General features: G+C 34.0%; 1 protein-coding gene and 1 long non-coding RNA gene across 8 annotated transcripts in view; one reads left to right on the top strand and one right to left on the bottom strand.

Moving 5' to 3' along the window:
- FSIP2 (fibrous sheath interacting protein 2) overlaps positions 1 to 27,210 on the top strand; it is a 96,157-nt gene that overhangs the window by 45,756 nt on the left and 23,191 nt on the right. For 4 of the 6 annotated variants that reach the window (XM_047444333.1, XM_047444329.1, NM_173651.4 and 1 more), the window contains exons 15-17: positions 3,363 to 3,399; positions 5,754 to 14,637; positions 16,808 to 26,244. In XM_047444333.1, coding sequence (XP_047300289.1) covers positions 3,363 to 3,399; positions 5,754 to 14,637; positions 16,808 to 26,244 — 18,358 coding nt within the window. The remainder of the gene's footprint in view (positions 1 to 3,362; positions 3,400 to 5,753; positions 14,638 to 16,807; positions 26,245 to 27,210) is intronic. The other 2 variants (XM_047444331.1, XM_047444336.1) reach the window with 2 other exon arrangements.
- Positions 802 to 17,262, bottom strand: FSIP2-AS1 (FSIP2 antisense RNA 1). 2 transcript variants are annotated; one of them, NR_144453.1, is made up of 3 exons: positions 17,191 to 17,261; positions 5,877 to 6,054; positions 802 to 1,241 (listed from the first exon to the last, which is right to left on the bottom strand). It is a non-coding gene; the product is annotated as an FSIP2 antisense RNA 1 (long non-coding RNA). The 2 variants fall into 2 exon arrangements; NR_144454.1 differs by lacking the exon at positions 802 to 1,241 and adding an exon at positions 5,131 to 5,320 and having other exon boundaries at positions 17,191 to 17,262.

Consider the following 27,210-nt stretch of genomic DNA (forward strand, 5'->3'; position numbering starts at 1 on the left):
GTCTTTTGCAGACTTTCAGCACTAAGCTTAAATTGTAGACAAAGTGAATCATTGTCCTTTCCTTTCTCCTTCTCCTTATCTATAATCCAGCTATAGTCAGGGTCTCCATGCCACTTTCAAGTGTATCCGCATCATAGCCTTCTTCCGGTAGCTTCTCATGATCTGGCTTTATTTCTTTGCTTTTCTCTTCTTTGAAACAGCTACCATTTCTTATGTTTTTTGAGATTATTGGCTGTCTAAGGCTGGTAAAATAGTTTATAGTATAAATGACTTAATCGGTTATTCCCCCACCCCAAAGGCTATTTTGCAGTTTAATAAAAAATAATAATCTCTAGTAGTGGAAATTATGGCACTTAGAAGAGATAGTTGTTAAGCCCAGGGACTTTTCATTCTTCAAACCTTAGTGACCACCTATTTTGTTGATGTTTATATCTGTTTTTCTCAACTCAAGAAAAGAAAGAGAGGAAAACATGAATCTAAGTAATGGCAGTGAGCTTTGTATTATTTTACACCCAATGCCATCATCTTTTTTAAAAATGAACAAGCCAAATGAAGTCTAGGATAGACTTTACAAACCCCAAATTCCTATGAAGATGATTGAGTAAAATAAGTGGTGCATGATGGCAAATGATATTGACATGTTCAGACAAGGCTTCCTGAAATAATAATTTTTACTTTAAGACTGATAAATATCAGTTTGTTTGACTTATTGAGTATTCATATGATACATAACACTGTAAAAGATGCAGAAGGAAGGAAACTGGCTTGTCTAGTTCAAAGCAATAAAACTTGATGACCGTGTGTAGACCATATGTAAAATAACATTGTTTATTTTACTTATTTGATACAAACGTTTTTATTTATTAGAAATATAAATACCTACCTCTTTAAAGAAAAGGTTAGAAGAGGCTCATAATATAGTTGTAATAACTGCATTTTTTATCTTCTCCTACCCAAGAATGTAGAACTACAAAAATCACTTGAATCTTTCATAGCAAGCATTTTGGATATTGTTTCATTAAAAATCTTAGCTTGATGAAAAATAAAGAACTCTATACCTTACCTGGAGCTTCTTCGCCACTGCTCCAAGAGCATACACACAGATCCAAATAAAGAGCAAAGACACATATGTCACATTCCTCTTGCTCAGGTTTAACTGCAGGTTTTACAGGAGTTTGCTGTGGAAGCCTCACATCTATTCCATCATTTCTTTTCTCACTTATTGCTTAGTCTTCTTGTTCCTGATCATTTGTTTAATGTTACAAAAGATTTATAAAATTGAGAGGAAAATTCAGTACCAAGGGAATGAAAATAAAGTAAATATGACAGCAGTGGGAGTAAAGTTGCAGCAATTAAGGGTTGCACTCAGGTGATAAGTAACTTTGTATTACAGGGAAGGTATAAGGAGTAACAGTGAAGAAGGCAATAAATCTACTACCCTGAAGACTGTGGTTAAAACTTGTAGTTTATTTATTGGGTAATAGTCTGATGGTTTTTAGTGGGGGTGTAATGGTCAAATTAGCATACACAATGAATAACTTTGACACCAATATATAGGAAAAATTGAAAGAAAGAAACTCAGAACCAGCTCCCAAAAGCTATTAGTGGCCTGCAAAGGCTTCATTTGGGATTAGAGAGAAGTAGTCACAGATCCGAAAGACTTTAAATAGGAATTTATTTATCAAACATTTATTGAGAACCTACTATGTTCAAACTATAATGCTAGTTTTTAGGCAGATACCAAGATAAAACTATGTTGCTATGATTTCAGGGTATTATTTTTCAAGGATATTATGAAGCTGGAGAAAGTGGATGAAAATAAGACAAGTTAAAACACCAAAACCCACTGCTATTACCTAGATTCACTGTTTTTCCTAAATAAGTGCTCTCTGGAATGTTGCAAGCCTTTAATTAATTAGAGCCCCAGAAACTATAATTCTCATCATTTTTCTTTCGCCAGTTTACTTCTTACTTTTTTGGAGGAATGAATTTCTCAAGATACTTACCCTGCCATTTCTGCTGATGCCATGCTTTATCTGGTTAATAAAATTGTTTTCTAATAGTCATCAATGAAGCTTTTTCAGTTTCCTGACTAATTTTACCTGTAGGCCTTTGCACTTTCGTGCTGTTTGTATGCTTTTGGAGCAAAAAGTCTATTGGGAACTGCTACCAATGAATACATAGAACTCCTTGAGTTAGTTATGTTTTGTGCCAATGATATAACATGAAGAAAACAGAAAAGTGAATCTGAATGCATTAGGTTGCAGAATATCTAAGAGGAAAACCTGTGGAAACTTGAGTTGACCTAAGAAACCAGATCTTAGAAAAACAAATTAGGACAAATGATAGAGAACATGTCACTGACATCAGCTTTCATGCTCCTAGTTGAATACTGCCAAAAGGTACAAATCTAAGGGTAGACTATTGTCATGAAGCCCATTTTATGAACTGAACCCAGTGAAGTTTCTTTTCTTTTCTGCCAAAATACAGGATATAGTTTTCAGTCTGGCTATTTCTCAAAATTGAATTATATCCCTAGGGGGAAATGTAAATTTGATCATGTAGAGTGCAGGCCTAGAAAGGAGTGCCAATTTTCTTAAGAAAGTAGAAAGAAGAAAAGCAGCAGTACAAATCAGCAAAAATATACAAAAATAAATCAGACTTCAGTTTTAGATTTTAATATTTATTTTTCTATTATTTTTATGATTGAGCTATTCTTTTTTGCAATTTAGAAAACTGTGTTTTTATTTCATTAGTGTGTGACGGTAAATCTAACAACACATGATAGAATATTGTCATACACATAAAAGGAATGCATCTAAATTGGTATTAAATATAGCTAGAAACTTATGATTTTAACCCATAGTTACTGAATAAGCATTCACATATTTTCTTCCTACTGTGGAATATGGGGAGAGGACAGTGGAACTATGGCATTTGAACGAGTAAATAAAGGATTATCAGAAAGTCCTGGTCAGATGCCTTGCTACTCCATCAGGGCTTTTAGCAGTCAGAAGGGACTCATCTGCCCACTTCCTGCAAATCCTATATCCATTTTCAGAGAAACACAATGTAGGCATGGCTAAGGTGTGTTGGAAGTATAAGGATCAGAAAGATACACTGTTTATGCAGCAGCTATAATTCTGTACCCCTGGGTAATAAAGCACATTTCCGAAACTAGAGGCCAGTCTAAGGAGGAAGTGAAATAGGGGGGTTGGAAAAAACAGTGTATTCTTCATTTTGAATTTCTAGAGAAAAAATCTTAGATACAACAAAATGATTTCAATAATTAGAAATTTTGGGAAAAGTTTTATAAATTTTTGACTCTATGTAATAACTAAATGATCAACCTTTCTTTACAGGCAACAGAACTTGCTGCAAAATTGCTTGCAAGAAAAAGTATGTATCATAAAATCCACCGAGAAAGCAACATATTAGTCATACTTTCTGATGCATCATAATAGAAAACATTTTGTTAACTAAGTAATAGGAATCATCCATTGATATTTGTTAGGCTTCCTTTTTGCCCCTTTTTCTTCATTGAAGTCTACTTTCAGTTAATTCTTATACTTTTCTGTGGTCCAAAATTGTTATCAAAAGATAATATTGACCCTTCAAGACGAGGTCTCATGGGTATAGAATGGTGAGATATTAACGGATCTATAACCATCATAGGAAGAGAATCAAATACCACAAGCCTATTATATCATGGGAAGCCATTAATCAATAAGGCCTTTCAGATCTTGCTGGTGAACTCAGTAGTAGGTGAGTTGAGATGCTTGGATCTGTCTTCAGTAGTTTTGTGAAAAGGGACCTGGTCACCTATGAGCTGAGACTTGGAACAGGCAAAGATAAGATCGTGTATTTTTATGAGGCCTAACTCTGGATCTAGACCGAAAAGTCAGGAAAGAGAAAGCATTTGAGGAACAACACATGCTCTGAGACGCTATTTAACATGGAAACTTGCTCAATTCATAGAATATGCAGCAAATACAAAAGCTTTGACCCAAGGGAATTTTTTTCAGCTTAATGTTGTAATAGAAAGCAATTAAAAACTAGGATTCTATCTATCATATTTCACTACAAAGAAAACGTTAGAAATATATCCCTCTTTTATATATTGAGGTTGGAATCTCTTCGCCGTAACTAACCTAAGAGTAATAATGTAGGTTTTTGTTTATCATCTCCAGTAATAAGAAAAATGACATATTTTGAATGTCTTAGTTTATAATTTATATGTGTTGTAGTTGATTTAGAATAATTATCTTCCTATAAACATTTAGGTATGATTCTTAAGTATTTGATTTAGACTGTATTTATTTAAGACATGTATTTTACAACATAAGATTGTCATCTCAAAATATGTGTTTAATGCCACTAACCCATTGCTTATACAATAAGTTAAAAATATGTTTGTGTATTTGGGGATTACAGCTGAATAAAATGGCCTTTCCTGGGGTGCTCCTCAAATGCTTTCAAGTGAGTCAGAAGAGAGTGTGCTACATATATGTTAACTTTTCTTTGAATGTTTCTCTGAAATATGGATAATTTCAGACTAATTTAGGCAATATTTTGGGTGTTAGCAGCCTAGTTACAGGAATCATATTTACACTGAGACCTACATATCAGCCTTCTAAGCTTTTCTGCCAATTACTTGTGTTTACAAGCTCTATGTTTTAAGAATTTTAACAACTTAAAAATAGAGTACTACTTTATTATATGTAAGATGAGTTTTGTAAGCACAAAATATATTTGCAGTTGCTAAATAGAGGTTTATAGAATTCTACAGATGCATTTATTTCTACCCATGGTCCAGTTCAAATCTATGACAGCAACATTAGTCACTAAGGAAATGGTTATTCAAATCTGGTTCTTGGCTCCAGCTCAAACAAATTAATAGTCTAACTTTCTTAACCTTGCTCAGCCCTCCCTACTCTTTGATTCCCAAATCTAGCTTGGCTTTTATTTTCTATCTAAATTTTAATTTGTTACCTTACTTTAGTATCTGTTCTCAGCTTTCCTATCTAGGACAATTTGTATTTATTTGTATTATTTTATTTTATTTTTATTTTATTTGTATTATTTGTATTTATTTGTATTATCGCTTTTATTGGATACAAAGCCCGTCAATCTATATAAAGCATTAGCTTTTATTTTTGCCTATCAAATAATTCTTAACAATTAACTTTAGTCATTCCTATATATATAGACCACAGGCTCACCCTTTCAGCAGGGACTGGGAGAGAAAATGCTTTATGTTCCTTCCCCACATCTCAGCTAGGCAGATGTTTCTGAAAGCATCCAAATATTTTGACTGGATCTGTCTTGAGAAATGTTTTGTTAGAAATATTTAATGTATCTTTAAAAATTAGCTGGATCATAAACATCACATATTTTCTTTCCAAAATATTTGCATGTTGTGTGCCTAGACAGCAATTTAGTGATATTTTTAACAAAAAAAAAATCATTTATACTGATAATAAATGCCAGGGGAAAAAGAAACTTCTGAGAGACTGTGAATAAAATAAATCTTACACAAAAAAACACTTCACTGTAGTGCAGAATAAACTAACTAGAAATTCATCTTAAATTCTAAATTTCTAAACTGATATTTCTTTACTATTTTCTTTCATAAACCATAATGGTATTCCACCAATACATTGATATAAAAATTAAATGTTACCTTCTGTCTCCAAAACATAGAGTAAGTTGTTACATGACTTTATTTTCATCTCTGCTTACCTCCTTTCCAGGTAACTTCTGAAGAACTGAATATTATAATTCAGAATGTAATGACCTGGGTTGTGGCTACAGTGACCAGTATATTGTACCCAGCCATCACAAAGTATGAAAAAAGATTGCAAAATAATACATACCCAGTATCTGATGACTCCATCCTCTCTTCAGATAGTTCAAGTTTCTGTAGCACGTGCAGTGAAGACTTTACATATAGAAGCTACACATCTGCAACAACTAAAACATTTCAGGCAGAACCCTGTGCATTTGTAGTTGACACGTCAGTAAGGAGACCAACCACACCTATAAAACCTCCTCCTGCACATGTGGAAAAAACAGTTGTGGGGAAAACATGTCACATAAAAGGACAATCTATAATCTCTAAACATAAATATAATAAAACCAACTTGCTATATTCATACCCTAAGCTCAGAAGTTGTAAATCAGATAGTCACCTTTTAGCATCATTTGAAACAGGCACAAAAAAATCTAAGGATGCTACCACTGAAACAGATAGCTTAGGGAGTTCATTGCATTGTGATAAAACAGCAAAAGCCATGGATGAAATGAAGAATTTAAAAAATGTTTTTGTTAACTTTAAATGTTACTTGAAAGGGGAAACTGAAGTGATTTTAGAAAGCATTTTGCGAGAAATAATGTCTGATTTAACCCAGGCCATTCCCTCTCTCTCTTCTGTTACTGCTGAAGTTTTTGTTGAACAATGTGAACGTGAAAAAGAAATCTTGCTTTCCAATGCTCATATTCCCTCAGTTGCTTCTGAGATTGTGGAAAATATGCTTGAGAAGTTAGAGTCTGCAGTTGAGAAAAAATGTGTTGAGATGTTTTCACAAGATTTGTCAGTCGACATTAAACCAAGTTTAGCAGCCAGTGATGAACTTCTCACATCATCTAATGGAAAACCTTTGAAAAATTCAATGCCTCATACTTTGGACCCAATGTGTGATATTGCAGAGGACATGGTGCATGCCATTTTAGAAAAGCTAATGACTCTTGTTTCTTTTAAGCAAAATGAATTTCTTCATCTTAAAGACACAAATAAGCTTTCCTGCCAGCAACATAAGACAGACCCAATATGTATGTTCCTTCAAAGAGCTGGCAAAAATAAATCTAGTCTTGAATCTGATGAAGCTAGTTTAATTGTCAATGAAGAAGTACAAAATTTAATATCAAATATTTTTTCCCAGTCTTCTTTGGTTGCTTATATAGAGGAAGCAATCAATGCTATACTAGGTTATATACAAACTGAACTAAATAATGAGAGAATTATTGCATCTGAAGAAACCGTAGTACTCCTTCAGCTACTTGAGGACATCCTTTTTCAGCTCCATCAGGAACCAGTAAATGAAAGTTTTCAAAAAAGTAGGCAACCTAGAATAAGTAGTCCTTCTGACACCAAAGAAAAGTACAGACTCACTGGCACTAGATTATCAAATAGTCCTAGGTCTGGAAGACCATTTCCACCTATAAATGTTCCAGGCATGGTTCTTTATTCTGATGATGAAAATGAGGAAATAGACAATATTGTAAAAAATGTGCTTGATTCAACTTTCAAAGATGAAAAAGTAAAATCACAAGAACAGATTCCTAATCATTGGTTTACAAAGGGAAACACTTGTTTTGAATGCAAAAGAAATATCAAACCACCTACAAAGCCTGGTTCTAGAAGCAAAGCTGCATTTCATGATTGGGAATTAAAGACTGAGCCACCATCTACTAATCATGAAGATATTTTAAAGAAAAAACTTTCTTCGAATAAAGACATTTCAACTTTCAGCCAAGATCAAAAGCATCAAATAGAAAAGGCTTCAGAAAACATAGTCACAAGTATTTTAAAGGAAATGCTCAAGGACATATCTTCCGTTCCTTTTGGTCACTTAGACAGCAAAACTGGCAGTGAAGCTTCAGTTCTTGTTTCAGAAAAGCCTCAAGGACTGTCACATCAAGAATGGATAGACCAGATGTTTTCTGTTTCAGAAATCAGTACAGTGGCTCAAGAAATAACAGATTCTGTGTTAAACATACTTCATAAGGCATCAAACTACATTTCCAATACCACTAAAAGTTCCATTTCATCATCAGTTCATCAGATTTCCTTACATAATTCTGACACTGAACACATAGTCAAAGAAGCACCAAATAAATACCCATTAAAAACATGGTTTGACAGTGAAAAGAAAATGAAATATTTATCTTTATTTGACGTTGATCCTGAAAAGCCTCCCTGGTTAAAATCTGGAAAAAGTGAACCTAAACCTGTAGATGACATTAATGATAAGATCATTCGTACAATTTTTAAAAGACTGAAGTCATTTATTTGTCCAAAATTGCATATGGGCTTCAAATCTTCATTACGATCTCAACTTAGTAAGTACACAGCTAAAATAGTAAACATTGTTTTATGTGCTATCCAGAATGAACTGGAACTTCACAAGGAAAACCTAAATCTTAGGGAGATTGACCATACCAAATCCCTTACAGATAAAGGATTTTTTGCTAATACTGATAAAAAATTAGAATCTCTTGTCACGAGTATTGATGATGACATTTTGGCGAGTCCATTATTAACCTGTATTTATGATATGTTGTTATCAAGTGAAAATGCACATCAAAGAAGCATTTCACTCTCTTCTCGTAAGCCAAAGTCTGCAACTGACAGTGTTGATGTACAAAGCATTTTGCCAAATAGGCAAGATAAAAAATCTTTTCACAAATATTTGGCTACTCCTTGTACTCACCACAGTGTCAATGGTGGAAACCATATTAAAGAGAATGCAAAATTGCAAGTGTTAGAAAGAATTGGGGAAACACTACATGAAATGTTAAGCAAGCTCCTGGGGACCCATCTTCATTCTCAGCTATCTTGTAGTCAACAAAGCAGAGAGATGACCAATAAGAATCAGAAAATGGCTGCTGCATTGCAGTCTAATATTCAGTTAATTTCTAAAGCAATTTTGGATTATATCCTTGCAAAATTATGTGGTGTTGACATGGATACCAGTTTTGCAAGTTGTGGATTAAAAGCTATCTCAGAGTCTCTTGACATTGACAACCCATCATTTGCTTCAATTATTGAGAAAATGGCCAAATCCACCAAAATAATCTCCAGCATAGTTTCCAGAAGGGTTCAGGAGGACAATAAAGAAGAGACTAAAAGCAAGGCAAAACCTGTTGCTCCTGTGTCTTCCAAAACACCAAGCACAAAAGAAATGCATCCAAATAAACTAAAAGCTGTAGCTTCAGATATTCTTAATATGGTTTTTGCTAAACTGGAAGGGTTTGCCAACGGACATTTAGAAATTTTGGGTGCTATTAATGATGGAAATAAGAAAAGCAATAAGATAGGCTGGGAATATGAAAGCACCAATATTTCCAGAGACACACATGAAGCATCATTTCTGTCTGCTTTATATATGCATGCAAAGAAGGTATCAAGTGCTATTTTGAAGGTTATTCAAACAGAATTAAATGTGACCTCATCAGATTTGAAGACAAGTGTAGAAAACCCACCACCTGAGACTCAAATACTTAAGTATGTAGTCAAGTTAATTTTAGATGCAGTATCTTCCGATATGTTTAATGAAATGGAATCTGAAGGGGGAGGCATTGAAACTTATCGATACAGGCCAACATATGGAAGTCTTCCTGGAGGAGCTGAATCAGATTCATTTCTAGAAGATGATGCATATACAGCGAAAAAAATTATTGATGAGAGATCCCCACAAAGAGAAGAAGTGAAAACACGTTCTCTTAAACAATGGGCTCTCGAAAAAACCTTAAACAAAATTGAAGTAAAACTCAAAGAACCACATATATCTCCAATTGCTCCCATTATAAGAAATATTTTGAATGAAATTTTTCAAAGTACTTTAATCAATCAATTAAATGTCCTTTCTCTCTCCCACTCTAATTTTAATGGCATGCCTCACAATGTTGATGAGCCAACTCCCCAAACATCTGTTCAATTTATGGATAAAATGATGGATCCTTTACTTTCGGAAGCAGATATAACCATAGTAACAGATAATATTGTTAGGACTGTATTTCACAAACTTTATTCAGCTGCCATGACAGAAAGAAATGTAAGGGAAAATAGGTATAAAACTATCACTTTTTCAGCAAATGTTTCTTCTCATGAACACACCTATAAAGGAAAGTCCTCTGTCACGGCTTTGGATGAAAATCCATGTACTTTTCAGTCTAGATTCAGCGTTGCTGACAAGGAGACAAAGGTAAATCTAGCTGAAGATATTGTACAGGCAATATTAACAAATTTAGAAACTTTTGCTACTTCCAAAGTAAAATCTCTCTTTTATTCTCAAGTCAACTTTACAGTTCCAGTGGCTTTACCTATTCAGCAAGATCACAGTACATTGAGCAAAGCATTATCAGCCAAAGATTCATATTCTGATGAGCAATTTTCCTGTTGCTCAGTAGATCATACCAAGTCAGGAAAGACCAACTTGTGCCAACTGTCTTTGTCTAAATTAAATACTTATGCACTACAAGTGGCTAGAAGAAATTTACAAGGAATCAAACAGGAATTAGATAAAGAAAGGGAAAATCCTTTTTTAACTCATGACATTGGGATTTCTGAAAGTATTGCAAGTCAAATTGTTAACGCATTGTTAGACATTATATCACGTAAAGGCAAATGTGACAAAAACAGTTCTGACAAAGAGATCGATTTAGATCAGCAAAAAGGTGTTATTGAAAAGCTGCTCAATGAGACCAAATATCGAAAAGTACTTCAACTTCAAATACAAGATACCATTGAAGGTATCCTATGTGATATTTATGAAAAAACCCTGTTTCAGAATAATCTCTCATTTGCCACACCCACTCTGAAATGTAGCATAGCTGATAAACATTCAGAAGAAAATTCTGAAATGTTCATGGAGGGTGCAAATAAGATTATTCCTAAGCTTTCAGTTCCTAAATCAGATGTCATTTTGATATCCAATGATATAGTGAATATTGTTCTTCATAATCTCAGTTCTGCTGCCACGCTTGTCATAAATGCAAAGAATCCTACTTCTGCAAGATTGCCCCTGACATTTTGTGATACGTTTCCAAAAATAGACTGTCAACAGCCTCTTAAGGGGTCAAAAACTGAAAGAAAAACAGAGCGTTTTTCATATTCAAGAAATCAGAAATCAGCTTATGCTGATGATAATCAGATAACTGTAGTAGAGAAAGAAGACACTCAGAAATCTGCTACTGACTCATGTGAGGAAAATGCTAACTTCATTACTAAAACTATTTTTAAACGTTTGGAATCTTTTGCCACAGAAAGAATAGATTCATTAATTACCCTTGCTTTCCAAAGTAAAGAAAAGTCATTTGTTATCCCAGAATTGGAAAATTGTAAACAAAATGACAGCATCTTTTATGATTCAAGCCAAGTGGAATCAGATGTAAATGTCCTGAAAATATCAGCAACTGAAACCATTCTCAGCCAAGAGCTTACAGATTTCACTTTTGTTGGTCGCAGAGAAAAACTTGGATCCACAATTCACCTATCGCAAGCTAGGCTTAAGACATATGCTGACGTCATTGCCAGTGCCATTTTGAAGCTTATTAAAAATGACTTAGACTTAGAAATTCAAAAGATATATCCATATCAAAACAATATTTTGTTCCAAGAAAACATCATTGTGAGTGAAATTGTTGACAGTATGTTAAAGATGTTAGATGATAAAAGATCTGTAAAGGAAATTTGTTTTAATTCAAAAGAAAATTCTAACTTTTCACAATTAGCTTTATCAAATGAAATATTGCTGGGTCACAAAGAGAAGGAAAGAAGTACCAAACAATCTCTATTTACAAAGTATCCATTAGAGCAAAACCAAATGATATTGGAAAACAAAAGGCAGATAATTGTTTTGGAAGAAATATTTATGAGAAATGGAGAATCAAAAAACAAAGAAAAAGGTGAACTGCTCATTGCAGTGGAAGAACTTTTGAATAAGTTGTATCAAAGAGTAAGGGAAGTCACAGGCCATTTGCCTCCACTTAATGAAACTGCCAACTTTATATCTAATTCTAAGATTAAAACATCAGACACAACACAGAAAAACAGTTTTCAATCACATATTAACAGTGTAGCAAATGACATAGTTGAAAGTGTTTTGGGGAAAATGTACTTGGTAGTTGTGACATCATTATATGAAAATAATAAAAGTAGGACAGAAGTTGAAATATCTGACCACAATGATTCCTTACTAATGAAACCATTAAGGTTTAGAGAAACTAAACAAGCAGGAAAAATAAGTAATTCCCCTAGATATGCGATATCACAGGCTTATTCTTATGTCGACAGTCAAAATATCTCTGTGATGGAAAACACTCTTTTGCCATATTTACCATTGCAAGTGAAGAAAGACTTAATTCAAATGGTTCTCAATAAGATCACAAATTTTGTCTCACTTCCTTTAAAGGTGAGCCCTAAGGACAACCCTAAGCCATGCTTTAAAGCACATTTAAAAACAAGATCAAAAATTACCACTTTGCCTAAATTTACAAAAAAAACACACTTAGGACTGAGTGCTGCTAAGGCCAAAAGCAAAACCAAGTTAGGTCCTGGAGAGAAGACCCTAAAAGACAGCAGATCCAAGACTGCCATTGGGTTGTCACACATCATGTCAGCTGGAGATGCCAAAAATTTACTGGACACAAAATTGCCCACTTCAGAACTAAAAATATATGCCAAGGATATAATAATTAACATCCTAGAAACAATTGTGAAGGAATTTGGAAAGGTAAAGCAAACCAAAGCTTTACCATCTGATCAAATCATAGCAGCAGGTAAAATAGTTAATACAGTTTTGCAAGAATTATATGTTACCAATAACTGCAATTTGGCTTACCCGATGAAATCCTCACATCTCAGACTTTCACAGGGGAATATAGGCACAGGATCCCTTCCTAAACAACAAGCATGTTTTTACTTGGAGAATGTTTCTTCACAGCTAGAGCACATTTTTCCTAGAGAAGGTATATTTAAAAAATTGTTTGACAAGTGGCAAACAGAATCAAATGACAAGGAAAATGAAAAATGTAAGCTATTGATGATAGCTGAAAATGTTTTGACTGAAATTTCAATAAAAGCAAAAGAATTAGAATATTCTCTTTCACTTTTAAATTTGCCCCCTCTTGAGAATTGTGAAAGCAGGTTTTATAATCATTTTAAAGGAGCTTCTACTAGAGCCGAGGATACTAAAGCACAAATTAATATGTTTGGAAGGGAAATTGTTGAAATGCTACTTGAAAAACTACAGCTATGCTTTCTGTCCCAAATTCCCACTCCAGATAGTGAAGAAACTCTATCAAACAGTAAAGAACACATTACTGCTAAAAGTAAATATGGTTTTCCAAACAAGCATAGCCTCAGCAGTTTACCAATCTATAACACAAAGACAAAAGACCAAATTTCTGTGGGCTCCAGCAACCAAATTGTTCAAGAGATTGTAGAAACGGTTTTAAACATGTTAGAGTCATTTGTGGACTTGCAGTTTAAACATATCTCCAAATATGAGTTTTCTGAAATTGTGAAAATGCCTATAGAAAACCTTTCTTCTATCCAACAGAAACTGTTAAACAAAAAAATGTTGCCAAAATTACAACCACTGAAAATGTTTTCTGATAAATCCGAGTCAAATACTATTAATTTCAAGGAAAACATACAGAATATCCTTCTACGGGTTCATTCATTCCATTCACAATTACTTACATATGCTGTTAATATCATCAGTGACATGCTTGCTGTAATTAAGAACAAGCTAGACAACGAAATAAGCCAAATGGAACCATCTTCAATTAGCATATTGAAAGAGAACATTGTAGCAAGTGAGATCATTGGCACACTAATGGACCAGTGTACTTATTTCAATGAGTCTTTGATACAAAACCTTTCAAGAGAAAGTTTGTTCCAAGGAGCTGAAAATGCCTACACTGTTAATCAGGTTGAATTAGCAACTAATATGAAAATGTTCACATCAAAGTTAAAGGAAGGTAGTTTGGGGATTAATCCTTCACAAGTGAGTAAAACTGGGTTTGTGTTTTGTTCAGATGAAGATATGAAAGAAAAGTACAGGGTTTCATCAGATTTACCCACCTCTGTCAGATCCTCTGTAGAAGACACAGTTAAAAACTCAGAGCCAACGAAAAGGCCTGATTCAGAAACTATGCCATCGTGTTCTACTAGAAACAAAGTACAAGACCACAGACCAAGGGAATCTAACTTTGGTAGTTTTGATCAGACCATGAAAGGAAATAGCTACCTCCCTGAAGGCAGTTTCTTACAAAAGCTGCTTAGGAAAGCAAGTGACTCCACAGAAGCAGCATTAAAGCAAGTCTTGTCATTCATAGAAATGGGAAAAGGTGAAAATCTAAGAGTGTTTCATTATGAGAACCTAAAACCAGTTGTTGAACCAAACCAAATTCAGACAACCATTTCCCCTCTCAAAATATGTTTAGCTGCAGAAAATATTGTCAATACTGTGCTATCCAGCTGTGGCTTTCCAAGTCAACCACACACTAATGAGAACAGGGAAATAATGAAACCATTTTTCATATCAAAACAAAGCTCTTTATCTGAAGTATCTGGAGGGCAAAAGGATAACGAAAAAAGTTTGCTTAGAATGCAGGATAAAAAAATCAACTATATACCTGAGGAAGAAAATGAAAACCTTGAAGCCAGCCGGGAAGATTCTTCTTTTTTGCAAAAATTGAAAAAAAAGGAGTACCCAAAGATAGAGACTGTGAAGGAAGTTGAAGCCTTTACTTTTGCTGATCATGAAATGGGTTCCAATGAAGTTCATCTGATAGCAAGACATGTCACCACATCTGTGGTCACATATTTGAAGAACTTTGAAACTACAGGTAAGCAAGAGAGAACGTACCTAAAAATTTGCATGATTTAGGAAGAAAACCAGTAAAAGACATGTTTAAAAGATCTCCTGTCTAAAAAGCTGTATTCACTATTTTTCTGAAAATACCCTTGGAGGTAGATGACTACTGAGTTGCACTTTAATTTTATTTTAAATGTATTATTTTATTTTATTTAGAAATAGTGTCTCTGTCACTGAGGCTAGAGTACAGTGGCATGATCATTGCTTCCTGCAGCCTTGAACTCCTGGACTGAAGACATCCTCCCATCTCAGCCTTCCCCCAAAATAGCTGGGACCACAGGCATGCCACTGCACTCTAATTTTTAAAAATCTTTTTGTAGAGACAGGGTTTTGCTATGTTGCGCAGGCTGGTCTCAAACTCCTGGCCTCATGTGATCCTTCTTTCTCGGCCCCTCAAAGTGTTGGGATTACTGGCATGAGCCACTGTGCTCAGCCTCAATTGCTTTTTAATTCATCACAATGCAAAAAAATAAAAATAAATAAATGTTTTCAGGATTTGAATTTGAAGGATGTGTTGCTCAGTTTTCTCTATCTACAAATGAGAGAAAATGAGGCCATTTTAAAGCAGGAGATTTTGGTTGAGCATGAGGCATAAATTTGGAAGGGTTTTTAAAATTCTTATGCATAACTTCTTTATAATCATATGGGATGTGCAGTTAACTGATTAAAAGTCATTTAATTTTTGTATTCTTGAAGGCTTTGTTATTATTATTCAAAGTTTAAAAGAACAGTAGAATTGAATATCTTGTTTTATTTGCATTCCAGTATTCTGACTTAAATTCCTTTTAGATATAATACTCCAACTGTATCATTACAGGGATTATATTTGCATTATCTTTCTAAGTATACTCATGTGTATATATTAGGTGAAACAACATGTAATCGTCATTTTGTATATCAAAAACAGTTGATTATTGACAATTAATAAAATTCAGTTTAGTATTACTATAATACCCCAGATCTAGGTCAGTAGTTTCAGTTACCAATAATTACTTGCTACATCACCAGTCCAGATACATCACACATCATTCTAATTGGAGATATTAGCAGTCCTACCCACCTGCACGAGGAGGTTATTTTCCATCCTTAAAACCAGTATTCTCCCAAGATGGACGGTAATGTAGCTACAACTACAAACTCTTAAATAGACTTACTCCAGGCATGACTTAATTGATTTCAGAAAAATAAACAAAAGCAAAACAAGCAAGAGAAGATCCATGATTTCATCACATTGACACTTGGCTCTAACAATTCTATATTCCTATTCTCAGACATCTCCAAGGTCTTCCAGTGACTTCGCTCATGTTCCTTCTTCCACTAGGAATACCTTTTCCTCATTCCCTGTATCTTGACATGGCCAAAACCTGTGTAGCAGTCAAAGCTCAGCTTAAAGTCTTCTATCTGTGTAGAGTCTTGCCTGATAACACATGAAGATATATAATATATAATTAAGTTCTGAGGAAAAAAACTGTGTTGCTCTTGGCTGCCACACCCAGCAGTTGGCCATTGCAAATAGGTAATGATTTGTAACAAATAGAATTTTGGACAAAACAAATATAGAGTTCTTCACCTGGCTGGGCCAACCTTCCTTCTTTGTGACAAACTATAATCTAGGGACTAAAGTACTACTGCTATTGCAATCTATTACTAGCTTTTCTGGAGTTGCCACACTTTTATTTTAGTCAACTTGATATTGCAACACAACTCCTTAATGTCCTAAAAGTAAAACATAGCATAACATTAAATGTTTTGTCTAAAGCTATTTTAAAATAATTATATGGCACCTCTAGGTATCACTGGAGACATGGTAGGATGCATCGCTAAGCCTGGAAATTATTTCTCTGCCCCAAGCTTTCCAGCTTCTTAAGAGTTCATAACCATCCAACCAAGGCAGACATCAGCATTTGACTTAGAGGATTGAATTTTGGGGTGTTATTTTCTCAATTTATTGGCTAAAATTAAGATTTTGCAAGGTGAGAAAATAAATGTTTGAGGAAAATCTAATTTCTTTTTTTGTTTAGATTTTTCTTTAGTGAGTTGCTCAAAGGGTGAAATATATATGTAAATAATAATTTCAAATATATTGAATTTTCTATATTTTCTTTAATCCATGCTAAAATTACAATGTTTCCTTTTTTAAGTTTTTAGTGAGGAAAAGATGTCTGTTTCTACATGGTCAAGGAAAAAATATGAATCAAAACAGTTCCTAAGAAACATATACGATGATTCTTCAATTTATCAATGTTGTGAACATCTCACTGAGTCAGTACTTTACCATTTAACTTCGAGCATTTCTGATGGCACCAAAAAGGGTAGAGAAAAAGAGAAAGCATGGGAAATTCAAGAAGCAACATTTAGCAAGATTATTTCAATTCATTCTCAAGTGTTTGAGAGCAGGTCAATTTCCATTGGAGAACTTGCTTTATGTATTTCTGAAATCATTATTAAAATTCTTTTTAATAATAAAATTATACAGGCTGACATTGCACAGAAAATGGTTGCCATACCTACAAAATACACTTACTGTCCAGGAATAGTTTCTGGTGGCTTTGATGACCTCTTTCAGGATCTCTTAGTAGGAGTGATTCATGTACTGTCCAAAGAAATAGAAGTAGATTATCACTTTGAAAGCAATGTAAGAAACAAATCATTTTCTATGCATAGAAATAATAGTGTACCCCTTTGCAACAAAATCAATAGACAGGCAAGCCCCAGAGACTGGCAATTTTCTACTCAACAAATTGGTCAACTTTTTCAAAAAAATAAGTTAAGTTATCTTGCATGTAAGTTAAACAGCCTGGTTGGTAACCTAAAAACAAGTGAATCCAAAGAAGTAGTCAATAAAGTTTTTAATATTGTTTCAGATTTATTTTCACCAGATGAATGCCTAGATACGGGTATGGATTCTGGTAAAATACAAAGAACATATTTCTACTCCTCGAATAATGAGCAACCTAATAGCATACTTACCAATAACCTACAGCTCTCCTCAAAATCAGTTTTTCTTCTCAATGTTGTATGTGAGAAACTTATCAGAATACTTTTGGAAGAATGCACAAGCACTGCTTTTCCTGATAAAGGGTCTGTTTCAGAGGAAACATCAGCAGAAGAATGTCAACTTTTAAAAATGCTTCAAAGTGTAGAAGATGGAAAATCTGATTATCGTAAGGGAGGAATGGACTGTGAATGCCTTCAAGTAGATTACATGTCAGACCTTTTGGAGAATGTGGCAGAAATTGATCAAGACTTATTGACATCAGACTCTATGCTTACTATTATTTCCCACAGCTTGGTTAAATCATTGATGGACAAATTATCTCACAGCATACAACAAGCTCCGGAAAGTCTACCTTTTGCAAATAAGCATTTGAACTACAGAACAAGAGAAATACAGTCTAGTTTCATAAAAGCAAGAAAGTCAGAATTAATAGAATTAGGACAGAGTAAAAGTTCTTTAGAACTCAGGAGCTATGATAGTAATTCTTTGACAGTATCCCTGAATAATCCCAGTGTGGTTAGCTCCAAAATACAAGCACCATTTAACAAGCATTGTGCAGTAAAATCCTCTTCTGTGTCACCTTTTGAAAGACAGAGAACAAAGGAAATGGATAAGGTAGCCATTCATAATAAGCTACATCAGGAAGGTATATATGCTGGTGTTTATTCAGCCACATTTTTGGAAGGAATAATTTCAGAATTGTTTTTTAATCTCTCTATGTCATTGTGGGGCAAAAATAAAAACATCACTGTGTCCTGGCTCAATGAGATGAATACATTATTTGTCAACAATGTAGTGAATGAATTTAATAATGCTCAAGTCACTGTTCTACGGAATGCTGAAGAAAGGCTGTGTTTTCCACCAGTTCATACAGAAACTGTTAGCAAAATTGTTGACTCAGTTTATTATGATGTTTTACAGCAGTATGAATTAAAAGTGGCCTGTGGTAATAATCCGGTATACGACAATGCCTCAATAGCAGAACAAATAACAAATGGCATATTGTTAGAGATTTTAGACTACAAACTGCCATCTTGCTTCAAGGAACATCTCATACCCCATTCATATTACCCTCTCAAACCTGAAATTATATTGCAAAAGCTTCAAAGTAACCTAACAGAATTTACTTCTCTACCCAGGTCTTCATCAGACTATAGTACCATGTTATCACATTCATTTTTAGAAGATGTCATAAGAAGGCTTTTATCTCAGCTAATTCCTCCACCCATTACATGTTCCTCTTTAGGAAAAAAATATTTAATGAGTTCTGATTTTAATGAAATGTCCACTTGTATAATAAATAAGGTTATGTCAGCCATTTCAAAACATAAAATCTGGTTCACTATATATGATAATCAATATCTATATACTGGAAAAAACCTCCAAAAGATGGTGGATTCTGTATATTGTAATATTTTGCAAATGTCTGACTCTCTTGTTTCAATACAAAAAAGTATAGTAAGCCGAAGCCCAATTATGATTGACCAAATAGCCAGCTTTATCATCCAAGAGATTATCGAAAATCATCTTCAACCATTTTTGAGTGGAGAGGTTTTATGTCATCCAAGGACTCCACTGGATCCAGTGTCTACTATTGTTACACAGGTTCTGAGTGAAGTGATAGAGTCACACAGACCTCAGAAGCAATCACCTTTAGATATTCACCTTGATTCATTTGTAAGGGAGATTGTTGCCAGACTTTTGTCAAAGATTTTCAGCCCAAAGCATAACACTGAAATTGAGTTGAAAAACATGACCCAAAGAATAGTAAACTCCATAAATAGGCATTTCAATAAAGCTAAAATTCACATTCTCTATGATGACAAAGAACAGGCTTTCTTTTCTTTCAATACAGATATTGTGGATGAACTTGCCACCTCAGTTTATAGAAATGCTTTAAAGCAGCATGGGCTAGACCTTGCTGTTGATAAAGAGTCTGAAGACAGTGGCATTTTTGTGGAAAATATTACCAATTTAATTGTAGCAGCTATTTCAGATTACCTTCTTCATCCACTGTTTTCTGGGGATTTTTCAGCTTCTACCTATTCTAATTCAGTGGCTGAGAATATTGTTCAGGACATCCTTAGTAACATCAGTAAATCTACTGAGCCAAGCCAGAGTGTACCTCTATATAACACCTTGCTGCCATACACATTTTTAGAAGATATGATCAGAGTACTATTATCTAAATTATTTTCTTCTGCATCTAGCCTGGTTCTAAACAGAGACACCCAAAAAGATATATCAAGAGTGAATTTCAATGACATTGCTTCAAACCTAGTTAGTGATATTAGGATGAAAGTTTCCCAACATGAAATTCGATTTTCAAAAGAGGAAGAAGAAACCAAGTTTATTTATTCAGAAGATGATATTCAGCACCTTGTTGATTCAGTATTTGCAAATGTTGTGCAAACCTCTGGTTCTCAAGAATCAGCTGTGCAAAATATCACAAGCAGTAATGACATTCTTATAGATAGAATAGCAGGTTTCATCATTAAACATATCTGTCAAAAACATCTTCAGCCATTTGTGAGTGGAAAATCATTATCTTCATCAGACACATATTTTGATGATGAGAGAAGGCAGTTATTTTATACCAGTGTTTACTCTTCAACATTCTTGGAAGATGTAATCTCTGGGGTTTTAAGAAAAATATTCCACAGGGTAGTAGGCATTGTACAAACAAAATCCATAAGAGATTCAGAAGATGAACTGTTTGAGAAAGCTGAAGAACTCATACATTTGATTACAGGGGAATTCTCAAAAGCCCAAGTTAGCATTATAGATAATACTGAGGAAAGACTGTGTTTACCTCCAGTGGAGAGGGATGTAGTCAAAACAATTGTTGACATGGTGTACAGCAAAGTTTTGCAAGAATATGAAATGGAAGTCGTGCCCAATAAAGATTTTCTAAATGACACAAAGACATTGGCTGCAAGAATAACTAATATCATCCTGGCTGAAATTTTTGATTTCCAAATTCATCCAGATCTTATAGCAAATCTGCCTTTTAAATCACATTCCAAACTCAGTGCAAATGTTTTAATACAAAGAGTTCAATATGATATAAGTAAATCAAGATTCCAAAGACAAGCTTCAACAATGTATACCACTATGTTATCACATAGTCATTTGGAAAAAATAGTTACTCAGCTTACATCTCAGATAAGTCCATTGAACACCAGTGCAGAGCAGTCAGATACTACTAAATCAGACTTAAGTAATACAGTGATAAAACTGATAAATGAAATTATGTCAATAATTTCAAAACATGAAATATGTATTATTAAATATGGGAATAAAAAACAGAGTATGATTTCAGCAAAAGATATCCAGTCTATGGTTGATTCCATTTATGCTGATCTTTCTCATTCAAATATATACCAGTCCATTACAAAAGATAAAAAGAGCATAAGTGACATACCTGTTTCAAAAATAGCGAGTTTTATAATAAAAGAAATCTTTAACCATCATATTCAATCATTTTTATCTGAAGATAAAACTCTCCTTTTGGCAGCAGTTGATCAAACTTATAAATTGAAAGCAATAGATCCTAAACAAAGAGAATTATCTTTTATTGTGAACTCATCTGTCTTTTTGGAGGAAGTAATTTCTGAGCTCTTATGCAAAATTCTTTATGCATTTTCACATAACATGTTGGTTACTGAAAATCCAGATAGAGTGAAACTGAAACTTACCAGGATTGTTACAACATTGGTAAATTCAATTGTTCTGGAGTTCACCACATCAGAGATTTTAGTTGCAGATAACTTTGATAAAAATTTGTGTTTCTCAGAAAGATACAAAGAAATGGTTCAAAAAATAGTCAACTCAGTATATGGAAAAGTATTAGATCAATATAAATCTCTGATTCAAATACATAGGGTTATACAAAGTGACACAATATGTTTTGGTAGGAAAATATATTATTTGCTATTGGAAGAAATATATGATTATCAAGTGCAGTCATTAGTTTCAGGAGAATTAGAGTCTTCTTCTTATTCGTATCCCCAAGCTGATAATATCATCAGAAATGTGCTTAACATAATCACAAAGGATAGCCATGCCTTGCCACCATATATTACTGTGTTGCCTCATTCTCTTTTAGAAGATATGGTTTACAGGCTTCTAGGGCATGTCTTCCCTTCAACTCACACTGAAAATGAACTAAAAGAGAAAAAGTTTCCACCGGATGATGAATTTGTGGAGGCAGCTTCAAAATTGACTGATGAAATTATAAAAGAAATTTCTGAACATGAGATTCGACTTTCCATGGCAGAGGATAATGCAGAAAGTATGCAGTTAGAACCTATTGAAAATTTGGTCGACTCCATATGTAATAATATTTTGAAAACATCTGAATTCCAAGCTGAAGTACAAAAAGATGCAGACAAAAAAGGATGCTCATTCCTCAGTAAATTAGCTGGTTTTATTATGAAAGAAATCATGTATCATCATTTACAGCCATTTTTACATGGTGAAGAATCATCTTTCAGTGACTTATCTGATTATGACCATGTCTCTGAACTTGCTAAATCTGGTAAAGAAAAGACACAGCCTTCTCTCTATTCAGCTACATTTTTGGAAGACATAATCATTGACCTTGTTCACAAATTTTGTTCTCTCCTCATTATTACTGAAGATTCTAAGAAAAATGAAATGGCAGAGCTAGATATTATGGGCTTGGCTCTAAAACTTGCAAATTCTCTGATAAGGGAATTTAAGAAAAGTGATATTAAAGTTTTACCAAATGCTGAAAAAATGTTTTCTTTTCCACCAATTGATAAAGAGACAGTTGATAAAATATCCAATTTTGTATATGAACAGTTCATAGAAAAATGCACATCTCATGATATTCAAAAAGGTGATGAAAGTAACATTGCTATAGGGATGATTGCTGCTCTAACCCAGAAGGCAATATCTGCATTCAGGATTCAACCACTTTTTTCAGGAGACTGGTCTTCCACCTTCTTTTCATTTCTAAATCCAGATAATATCACCCAAAGGGTTCAACACCTACCACAAAACACCTTTACACAAATAAGCAGATGTGCAAAAGAGAACCAACTTTCTTTACCAGATCAATCATATAAAGATACTTCTTCCACCCCAGATTGCAAAAACATGATGAGCACTTTGGAAATAAATAGAGGTACAATGAATAGAAAGAAAAGTTTTAAAACCAAGGACACATCAGTGAAAAAAGGTGACATCCAAAATCCAGTACTTAGCTCTATAAATGCAATTATGAAAAGCGGCATGATTAACCTAACATCAGGGTTGGCTACAGGTGTGACAAATAAAAAGGAAGTGGATGAAAATAAAGTGGGAATTTGTACTCAAAAACATAGTGAGAATGTATCAAAAGTTACTTCAACTACCACTGTGAAAAGTAAAGATACTCAGGAGCCAAATTTGAGTGAAACATTTAATAATAATGAAATTGAGAAGAAAAGAAATTTAATTCCAACAGATAAAAAAGGGAAAGATGATGAGATATACACACATTTTTCATTAATAATTGATGATACAGAATATGAGAAGGAAGTACTTGGATCAGATTCTGAAATAGGCTATAAAAAGAAGATTGACAATGCAAGGGAAAGCTCATTTAAAAAAGATGACAAGCTCTTTCAGTTATCCTCCTTGAAGTCCAAGAGAAATCTAGGGACTACAACAGATACTTTGGAAATAAGAATTCGAACATCAAGCAATGAGGGGAGAAGAGACTCTCCAACACAAACGTGTAGGGATGAGGAACACCACTCAGATTATGAACATGTTCAAAATGTCATTGAAAATATTTTTGAAGATGTTTTAGAACTATCTTCTTCTCCAGAACCAGCATATTATTCGAAACTCAGTTATGACCAAAGCCCCCCAGGTGATAATGTATTAAATGTAATTCAAGAGATTAGCAGGGATTCGGCACAGTCTGTTACAACAAAAAAAGTATCCTCCTCAACTAACAAAAATATCTCTGCCAAAGAAAAAGAAGAGGAAGAGAGAGAAAAAGAGAAAGTAAGAGAGGAGATTAAAAGTGAACCCAGTAAACCAGATGATCCTCAAAACCAACGAGAAAGTAAACCTGGAATTTTTCCCGCTAAGTTTTTAGAAGATGTTATTACTGAGATGGTTAAACAATTGATCTTTTCTTCTATACCAGAAACACAAATACAAGATAGATGTCAAAATGTTAGTGATAAGCAAAATCAAGCCAAACTCTATGACACTGCTATGAAACTCATCAATTCACTGTTAAAGGAGTTCTCAGATGCTCAAATTAAGGTTTTCAGGCCAGATAAGGGAAATCAGTTCCCTGGGGGTAAAGTGTCTTCAGTTCCTAAAGTACCTCCAAGGTATAAAGAGCCAACTACAGATGAAGCACCATCCAGCATTAAGATAAAATCTGCAGATAAAATGCCACCTATGCATAAAATGATGAGAAAACCTTCTTCAGATAAGATACCATCAATTGACAAAACATTGGTCAATAAAGTTGTTCACTCCTCTGTTTGTAATATTTTAAATGACTATGGATCTCAAGACTCTATTTGGAAGAATATAAACAGTAATGGAGAAAATTTAGCAAGAAGACTAACTAGTGCAGTGATAAATGAAATTTTCCAACGTCAGGTTAACTTGATATTTTGTGATGAGGTTTCAGTTTCAGCATGTTTGCCTCTGGAATCTAAGGATGTTGTTAAAAAGGTCCAAAAGTTGGCCCAAACAGCCAGCAAAGAATGTCAAACTTCATCACCATATACAATAATATTACCTCATAAATTTTTGGAGAATGTGATTTCTGCTCTTTTCTCCAAAATTTTCTCAACAATATCCAGCACAAAAACAAAAGAACCTGAGGACAATTTGTCCACAGAACTGAATTTCCTTCAAATGAAGTTAGTAAGTGCAGTTGCAACAGAGATCTCCCAAGATAAATATATGACTATACAGTATGTAGAAACCTTACAATCTGATGATGATGAAATTATTCAATTAGTGGTTCAGTCTGTTTATAATAATCTCTTGCCACAGTTTGGATCACAAGAGATTATACAAAATTGTGTAACCAGTGGATGCAAAATCCTTTCAGAAAACATAGTTGACTTGGTTCTACGAGAAGTGGCTAGCAATCAGCTGCAGAGCTATTTTTGTGGAGAGCTAACTCCACATCAGTGTGTGGAAGTTGAAAACATCGTTGAAAAGATCCTTAAAGATGTTTTCCAAACTACTGATGTGCCCCTACCTAAACCTTCACATGCTGATAAGCTGTCTTATAACATAATAGAAGAAATTGCTGTGAAATTTTTATCAAAGCTTTTATCTATATTTCCAAAAGTACATAAAGAAAGAACAAAATCTCTAGAGACTGATATGCAAAAAATAACTTCAAAAGTACTAAATTCAGTCCAAGAATTTATCTCCAAAAGTAAGATTAAACTTGTACCACCCACCAAGGAATCACCTACTGTGCCTGTAGCTGATAATGCAACTATTGAAAACATAGTTAATTCTATTTATACCAGTGTTTTAAAGCACTCTGGCTCTTATACTTCTGTATTTAAAGATTTAATGGGTAAAAGCAATGTCCTCTCTGATACAATAGGCTTTTTAATGGTGAATGCAATTTCGAATTCTGAATTTCAACCTCAAGTAGAGGAAGAAGTATCAAATTCAGAATTAGTTCTGGAAGCTGTCAAAATTATGGAAAAAGTGATCAAAATTATTGATGAACTTAAGTCTAAGGAAAAGTCTTCATCCAGAAAAGGTTTGACATTAGATGCCAAACTTTTAGAAGAGGTGTTGGCCTTGTTCTTGGCTAAACTAATAAGGTTGCCAAGTTCCTCAAGCAAAGATGAAAAAAACTTATCAAAGACTGAGTTAAATAAAATTGCATCTCAACTGTCAAAATTGGTAACAGCTGAAATTTCCAGAAGTAGCATTAGTCTAATAGCTTCTGATCCTGAAGAGCACTGTTTAAATCCAGAAAATACAGAAAGGATTTATCAGGTTGTCGATTCCGTTTATAGTAACATACTGCAACAATCAGGAACCAACAAAGAATTTTATTATGATATAAAAGATACAAATACAGCCTTTCCTAAAAAAGTGGCTAGTTTAATTATTGATGGAGTTTCAAGTTTTCCATTAGATACAATTAACTCAACAATTTCAAATGCTGATCTCTCTGGAGAGCTAGACGTTAATAGAATTGTTCAAAAGGCCCAAGAACATGCTTTTAATGTGATTCCTGAATTAGAGCAAGAAAAGTTAGATCAAAATTTATCTGAAGAGGAATCTCCAATTAAAATAGTTCCACATGTTGGAAAAAAACCAGTCAAAATAGATCCAAAAATTATTTCAGAACACTTAGCAGTTATTTCTATAAAAACTCAACCTCTTGAGAAACTTAAGCAGGAGTGTTTGAAAAGAACTGGACATAGCATAGCAGAACTGAGAAGAGCATCAATAAGTGGGAGAAATTACTCCTTAGGATCACCTGATTTAGAAAAGAGAAAGACAGAAAGACGTACCTCATTGGATAAGACTGGAAGACTGGATGTAAAACCCCTAGAGGTAAGTGCAAAAGCAATGGCATGAAAATGAGTGAATAGTGAGACATGGTTCTTCTGTGATTTCCTTCCTCAAATAAGTATATGGAAATGCATTCATTGTTGTTGGTGTTTCTCAGCCCAATAGGAGAATTAGTTGCATCAGTTCATCCATACAGTCATATTATTTACTAGGATTTGTCATGTTAGTTCTGTGGCTCACTCTAAAAGTCTCAGGCTAGTTTCCTAAGACAATCCTTTTGAAAGTTTTTTTTTAAGAATGAGATTGTAAGCACATACCCTTCACAGTAAAACCAGACTGACAGAAGTTATAATTGTCATTTAAATATTTAAAAGCAGCAAACTTGTATAGTTCCTTAGTTCGTTATGGATATCTAAAGGTGTTCAAACAGGCCAGTTAAAAGAATATCAGGATATGTGGAATAATCTAAAATAGTTTTAATTTTCAAATTTAAAGCACCAGAGTAATACTCATTTCCTTTTAGTAACACTCATCAGCAAACGTTGGACTGCCAACTCTTAGATTACATTTGTTCTATTTTACTTCAATTATATTAGCCTTTCCCATTTGCCCTGGCCTCTCAAGATGTACCCATTTTCTTTCCACTTACACACTTGTTTTTTTTAAAACCAGCTGCAGTATTGCTGCTATTTTTATGAGCCTCTTCCCTATTGCTCTAGACCTAACTCTCCCCTGTAACCCCATACTCAGCTCCCAAATATTTTAACCGGGAATTTAAAATGCCAAAAATAATGTCCTTATTACAAGGAAACTATTACTGAGGACAAAAGATTTGTCTCGCCAACAGATAGGTTGCACTGATCCATCAGACATTTTGATTTTTATTAAAATCCCTTTAACTGATGGCATGCATTTGTGGGAGGGCTGAGTATGCTTAGGCATGTAGTCTGTAGCCCGGACAATTAGCAAAGTTTTATAGAACCATGCCTCCTGGAGCATAAGCTTAGA

Source organism: Homo sapiens, chromosome 2 (assembly GCF_000001405.40).
Source record: "Homo sapiens chromosome 2, GRCh38.p14 Primary Assembly".
NCBI lineage: Eukaryota > Metazoa > Chordata > Mammalia > Primates > Hominidae > Homo > Homo sapiens.